Raw genomic sequence first — 7,504 nt, 5'->3', positions numbered from 1 at the left:
CCTAAATTAAAACTGTTTGTAGATTTAAATAAGGTACCTTAGCCCACTTCCAAGCAGGATAACACCCTCAATTCCCTCCTATGTATGTACAAAATGTGGAATTACCACTCCCTAAATAGTCCCTGGATTTGGTGTCACTATAGGGTTTTCAGCATATTTGCAGATACCACATGGTTGTTTTGCTATAGCTAAGTGGTTTCCTGGCCAAAGTTCTTTGAGCTTCTTTCTCCTGAATCTTCTTATTTCCCCCAGTATTTTCTTTCCATGACATATAACTAATATATACATAGACACACACATACATATATAGACACACACAGAGATATAGAGTTAGAGATTGATCCTTCCTTTTCTCTTCCCCTTTTTCTTCTGTTTCCTTAATTCTTCTAGTCATTGCTTAAGCTACAGGTTTGAAGACCTGGGAGCTTAAAACCCCTGCCAGTAAGCACAGGTTTATAGACTTGTTATTTTCATTATTGCTTTATAAACGACAGTGTTTGAAGCAGAGTGTAAGTTAAGTAAAAGTATGCTGAGGATTTCAACTGTTTGCATGTTTGGAAGTGATTGTCTTGAAAAGCACAGTTGATTTTGTGGTGTGAAGGAGCCAGGTTTGAAACATATTAGCACTGCTTTCCGGATTCAGTTTCAGTTTAAGAAAGGAAGCTTCCTAGGAAGCATAGATGACGCTTTTTAGGGATTGCACATTATTAGCTTTTGAACGGGCAGGTTGAAAACCTGACACAGTCTGTCAAATGGAATTGATCCATTGGAGGTGCAAGGAAGTGAGCAGTCTTAGTTTAGTGTTTATTTTTTAAAAATTATTATTGTTGGTTTTCTCACTTATTTATTATGAAATACATGAATGATGCATTTCTTTTGAAAGAGTATTGAATGGTAATGTTCTCTTAAAGGAAGAAGGAAAATTACTCGATTTCAAATTGCTGTGATCAACCATTTCATTTTCCCTATTACTATTTCATCTCTTCTATTTAAAAAAAAAACTAGGGACCCTCCTTTGGATATCTTCTTTAAGGAATTTAATATCAATGAATATAACTATGGATACTGCAGTTAACCTTACTATAAGATACAGCTAAGGCATGTATATTACTTCCTTTTTTGAAGTTTAGTTTTTAACATGGAATATTTTTTATCCTCCCATTAAAGAACATCTTCTCCAGCTAAATGTATGAAAGCACTTTTCTAGTTCCTGATAGATGCAGCTGCTTCTGAGAGGTGAAGCCAGCTGGACTTCTGGGTTGAGTGGGGACTTGGAGAACTTTTCTTACAAGAGGATTGTAAAATGCACCAATCAGCGCTCTGTAGCTAGCAGGAGGATTGTAAAATGCACCAATCAGCGTTCTGTAAAATGCACCAATCAACAGGATCCTAAAAGTAGCCAATTGCAGGGAGGATTGAAAAAAGGGCACTCTGATAGGACAGAAACGGAACATGGGAGGGGACAAATAAGAGAATAAAAGCTGGCCACCCCAGCCAGCAGCGGCAACCCCCTTGCGTCCGTTTCCGTGCCATGAAAGCTTTGTTCTTTCACTCTTCACAATAAACCTTGCTGTTGCTCAGTCTTTGGGTCCCTGCCATCTTTAAAAGCTGTAACACTCACCACGAAGGTCCGTGGCTCCATTCTTGAAGTCAGTGAGACCACAAACCCACCGGAAGGAACCAACTCCGGACACACTACTACTTCTACTGCTACTGTAAATAATAAAGCACCGTCACATATGTGATTTCAATGAATTGTCACAACTCTAAGAGAAACATTTTATTTTGCTATTTAGTAGTTAAATGAAGGCTTACAGGAGGCTCCAGGACTTGGATTATGTTACTTGTAAGGGGCCAAGCCTAGACTGAAACTGGTCTTTTGACTTAAGTTTCCTTGTTCTGTATCTTTCCATTACAGCTAGTTGAACCTGATAATAACTCATGATATGACATTTAGATATATTTCACAAAAGAAATGATGACAAAACTCAGTAGTTTGTAGAATATGATAAACTAGTCAATTAAATTAAAAATTAATAATAGTTTTTAAAAATCTAGATTACAATCTACCTTTAAAAAACATTGACTAAGCCAGGCATGGTGGCAGGTACCTGTAATCCCAGCTACTTGGGAGGCTGAGGCAGGGGAATTACTCGAATCCAGGAAGCAGAGGTTGCAGTGAGCTGAGATCATGCCACTGCACTCCAGCCGGGACAACAGAGCAAGACTCAGTGTCAGTAATAATAATGATAATAATAAAATAAATGTACTATGTGTATACTATGTACATTACACAGTGTGTGATAATCCTCGTGAGAAGATAGCAAATTTGAAGTCACATCCCTAGCGTCAAAGAACATACAGTCGTCTTGGAGTAGATAGAAATCATAAACGTCTTGAAAAAAAGAAAACAAGTTGAGATAATCATTAACATGATAGTAATTCTGTTTTGTAAGGGTTGAAGCATCAGAGACCACGTTAGGGAGGGGTAGTATGAGAAAACTTCTTTCTTAGTCCATACAAAAAACCTGTAAGATTTTACTATTGGAAGGTGATCTCCAGATATGGTTGAATCATATGACATGAGAGGCATCCTCTTCAGTGTCATTTTCCTTTTGGGGGCTGTCGACGGAGTTACTGCTGCTACTACCAGCTAAATTGCAGGATGCCTTCCACTTTCAAACTCTAATAGAAGTGTGGAGAAACTCCCCTCTTCTAGAATAGTTCATTGTAGCTCAAGTAGGCCTGAACTTCCAAAAGAATTTGTTAAATACTTAGAACAACAGAGAAACAAGATGAAAATGTAAAAAATTTCAAGCTTACAAGCCACAGTTTATAATCCTCCCATAGCTAATTTACTCAGTGGCAAACCCCTGTCCTATTAAACATCACTTTGGAGACACGGCTACCACACCTTTACTTCTAAGACCTCATTTAATTTTTAGGAACTTCCTACTTCCTTGCTTTTTAACTCCCAGTTTGCTTTTAAACAAAGGAAACTCTTTACAACCCGTAAGATTGAAAATGATTTCCCAGGGTCCTTGATGGTGGCAAACTAGGATCTTTATGGAGTTCATTTTCTGGTCTGAGAGACACATTTTTTTCCTGAGGTGATTCACAAAACGATGGTGACTGACAGGCTAAATAATCTAAATTCAGGGGGAATTAAGCTATTTTCTTTCTGGGAACAAAATTCTTCCATGACAAGCTTGAGATATAGAAATACCATGTAAGTTATTATGACCTTTCTCTAATAGGAATTATATATTTCATAAAATCAGGAAATGAAGATGCGGTTATCATATTGTTGGGTCATAGTAAGGTAACAATTTGAAGAAATGTTAAGGGTTTAATACGTGACCTAAATGATGAAACATTAAAAAGGGAAGGTGCTCTTATTTAACGTGACATCATAAGCCTGTTAGATTTCTTAAAACATAACCTTATTTTGCCAAAACTAACAAATGTGCCAGCAAATGAACTTTCAATCAGCAGACTTCTTAATTAAAAGAATGTGACGAAAGAGAGGGAGGCGTCAGAGGTGGCTTGAGCCCAGGTCATCCTTCATCCCAAGAGGCATCATGTTGCTTACAACATCAATAAACTTTCTTCTTTAAAAGAATTTAGTCTGCAGGCAGCAAATAAAATTTTATTTTTCCCTCACACATAAAATATATCCCAGACAGACCACCAGCCTGTAGTTAAAAAACAAAAAAACAAACAAACAAAAAACCACCAAAACCAAAAAACAAAAACCTCAGGGTTTATTTGATGTTATAGGTCAGAATATTAAAAGTCCCATGTGGGAAAAAAATTATAAGTGTGTCAACTTCCGTTCAGGAAAGTCATTACAGATATGGGAATATCTCATTGTTTTTCTTTGTTATTGGGGAAGAGAAAGGGTAATGTTTATCAAGAAATCTTTGGGGGTGTCAGGTTATTTGACAAATCCTCTCAAAGGAAACAATCATAGAGTTATCCCCAAACACAGGCCATGTCACTAAGAAATGGAAAAAGAAATCTGAGCCATAATTCCATGGAAGTCATATTCAGAAACTATATATGTTATACAGATTATTTGGGAGAAAGAATCTTCAACCTGTTAGTCAATCAGCGAATATGTGTTGAATGCCTACTGGGCTTTCAGAATGAGTATTCATGGTAGTTTACAGTGTCTGCTCTGTGTCAAGCCATGTGTGTTAGATAATTTGCTGAAGACCACACAGCTAGTAAGAATAGAATTAGGATTTGAAATCAGGATATATGAGTCCAGGAACTATATCCTTTGCTAAGATTTGCTTCTCTTTAAATTTATTGTCCAACCCAGAAGTTCCACCCCTGGACATCTACTTAAGAAAAAGAAAAACATTTACATAAATGTTTGTAAAGTTATTATTTATAATAGCCAAAATTATAGAAATAGTTTAAATTTTCATCAACTGGTAATTAACAAAATGTAGTCTATTCATTTTATTCACCAATAAAAAGAAATGAACTACTGATACCTAATAGAAGACAGATGAGCCTCAAAAACATTTTGCTAACTGAAGGAAGTCATATGCAAAATATCACTGTGGTAGGCAGAATTCTAAGGTAGCCATTAAAATTCCTCCTCCTGGTGCACAGACCCTTTGTAATCCCCACTCTTGGGTTTAGAACGGACCAGTGAATGTGATGGGATAGTCACTGCTGTGCTTAGGTTATGTTATATGGCAAAGGTAAAGAGATTATGCAAATGTAATTAGGTTAATCAAATGGGAAATCACCCTGAGTGGGTCTGAGCTAATTAGGTGGGCCCTAGTAAAGAGAGTCCAGATCTTGTATGAAAAGAGAGGTTCTGAGTGATAGAGATCCTTTTATTGACCTTGAAGGAATCTGTTTCGAGCTGCCTATGGAGGGGACCCTGTGGCAAGGACTCAAGGAGATATAAGCAGTGTCCCGCTGACAGCCAGGAACAAAGTGTGGACTTCAGTCTTACAACCACAAGGAACCAAATTCTTTCAAAAACCTGAATAAATGTGGAAATGGATTCTTCCCTAGTCAAGCCGCAGATATGAACACAGTCTGGCTGACGCCTTGATTATAGCCTGTGAAGACCCTGAGCAGAGGACCTAACTGGCCTGGGCTTCTGTCCTACAGAGACTGTGAGGAAAAATGGGTATTGTTTTAAGCTACTATGTTTGTAGTAATTTGTTATACAGCAATTAAAGTCAGTACACTATATATTATGTCATTATATGTATATGAGATATCTAGAAGAGGCCTCAAAAGCCCTGAGAGAAAATCTCTAGCTCTGGATAGACAAACCAGAATAAATGGGCTTTGCTGTTGCATGAAGAGGGTGTTCAGATGTGTTTGTATGTTGGGGTGGGAGGTATATTGTGTATGAATTGACACAATTCTGAGCTCACCACCAACTTGTGTATGCATGGAACAAATCCAAAGAACAACAGCAAAGGCTTTGGGAAGTGAACAATAAAGCCCAAATTGTAGACCAAACTGATGGCACATGCATGCAGGAGATCCAAACAGCATAGCAATGTCAAAGAGAACTGAACTGCCATTGGAACCACCACCAAAAGATGACGCAGAAGTAGAACTACCTGGGTTGATTGTTTTGCTAAAACAAACAAACAAAAAGCAAACATCCTCCTTCTCCAGAGGTATCTAAGAAGTCAAGGGTACAATCCAAAGTTACTCGATATACAAAAACCAGGAAAATCTGACCAATTTTTATGGGAAACATAATCAACAGATGCTAATTTTCAGGTGACTCGTGTGTTGGAGAGCCTTTAAATCATCTATGTTGATCATCCTTCATGAAGTAAAGGTAAAGTCTGGAATAAATGGAAACATAGACACTTTCAGTAGAGAAGTAGAAATATAAAAAGGAAGCAAGTGAAAATTTCAGAACTAAAAACTATGCGAAATGAAAATTTACTCCATGGGCTCAATAATAAAATTGAGATGACAGAGAAAAGAGTAGGTGAATTTGAAAACAATTCAATAGAATCACAAGGCCAGGGCTTGAAGAAAGATAATGGCAGAAACTTAGACGGGTCATGCAGTATCAATAAGAGTTGAGGGATGGCTGAGTTATCTACAGTCCCTCACTCACCTCTGACCATGCAGAGAACCATGTTGTCAGTTACATCAGCAGCTGATCTCAGCATAGCATGCAGTGACCAGGAAGCAGATTGCTTCAGTGACCAGACACTCTAAAGTATCTCTTTGGACTCTTTGGACAGGAGCAGAGAAACAGGAGAGCAATTTTAAAGAATTAAAGAGCTATTCCAAGGGTCTCTGTGAACTAGCTTTTATAGATTGGATGGATTTAGAATGTGAAGGAAAAAGAAATGCAAAATGGCACCCAGGTGTTAGGTCTGAGCAACTGGTAGATGTCTCACCATTTGCTGCAGTGATGATGAAGGCCTGAGAACTTCCTTCTCAAAGGAGCGGGATGGGGTGGAAGCCAATAGTTGTATCCCTGCCAGGTTAAATTTGTGGTGCCTAATAGATGTTAATGTGCAGTTGTCAAATAGACAGTTGGATCCAAAGTCTGTACCTTGGGGGAAAGTCTGGAAAAGTGATATAAAGTGTTTAAAGTCCAGGAAGACAATGTTAAGAGAAGCCTGAGAGTTGATAGGGAGGAGACAACAGAACAGCAGTTCTATGGACGATGGTCAGAGGTCTTGTAAAGAAAAAAGAAACTAGCAAAGGCAGGGGCATGATGGTATAGCTAATGCCAGCATATCTTCCACAGGAAAGGACTTAAAATATTTGAGGTATTTATCACAGTCTGGAGGTAAAACATACTCAGCTGAGATAAAATTCCATACAAATGAGAAAATTGATAATGTTTGTGATTTAAGTAATCTTTTTGGCATTTAAGAAAGGAGAAATGAGAAAACTATGCTTAGAAAAACTATGAGAATCAGATACTCACATTCTGTTTATTTCTACCAGAACTTGATGAATCTGGGACAAAAGCCTCCAAATGGAACAGCTGGAATACAATATCCATCACACACACTGTGGAAGCTGGAGCTCCCATAGCTTTTTATCCCATGTATTAATAAGTCTTGGGGATGTAAAAAGACAAAATTTAGTTAGGATAATGTCATGTACTTCTATGTGGGATTATGAATCCTTAATGTTATTGTCTGTACTGATGTTTGTTGGACTAGGAAGAGGCAGCTGGCTCTCTGTGGTTTTCAAAAGAAGATATCCACCTCACCAGGCTATCACAGTGAGAAAAATTTTAAATGCATAAATGAAGATGGATCATTTTCCCAGTCCCATTGCTTCTCTTTGTGGTGCTTTTTGCCCTGAGATTACACAAATGGATGGTTTTATGGCCACTGAATGTAGAACAGCTGTAGAAACAATATATCATACAACAAGAAATTGTTCAGAAATGAGGGGGATTATAGAAACATTATCTGTCTAATGCTGTCAAGTTCAAATGCTACATGTGTCACCCTACCCCCATACAGCACAGACT

At 37.8% G+C, this 7,504-nt stretch overlaps 1 annotated feature.

Moving 5' to 3' along the window:
* Positions 5,462-6,661: an enhancer, noted in NCBI's record as "BRD4-independent group 4 enhancer chr6:9648237-9649436 (GRCh37/hg19 assembly coordinates)". NCBI's record gives its function as "activates an origin of replication core promoter dependent on BRD2, P300/CBP, MED14 and CDK7 cofactors, and independent of BRD4, by STARR-seq in HCT116 cells {active_cell/tissue: HCT116}" and the evidence as "EXISTENCE:reporter gene assay evidence [ECO:0000049][PMID:35650434]".

Source organism: Homo sapiens, chromosome 6 (genome assembly GCF_000001405.40).
Source record: "Homo sapiens chromosome 6, GRCh38.p14 Primary Assembly".
Classification (NCBI taxonomy): domain Eukaryota; kingdom Metazoa; phylum Chordata; class Mammalia; order Primates; family Hominidae; genus Homo; species Homo sapiens.
Note: the sequence above shows the minus strand (reverse complement) of the source record. Positions and strands in the feature narration are given on the sequence as shown.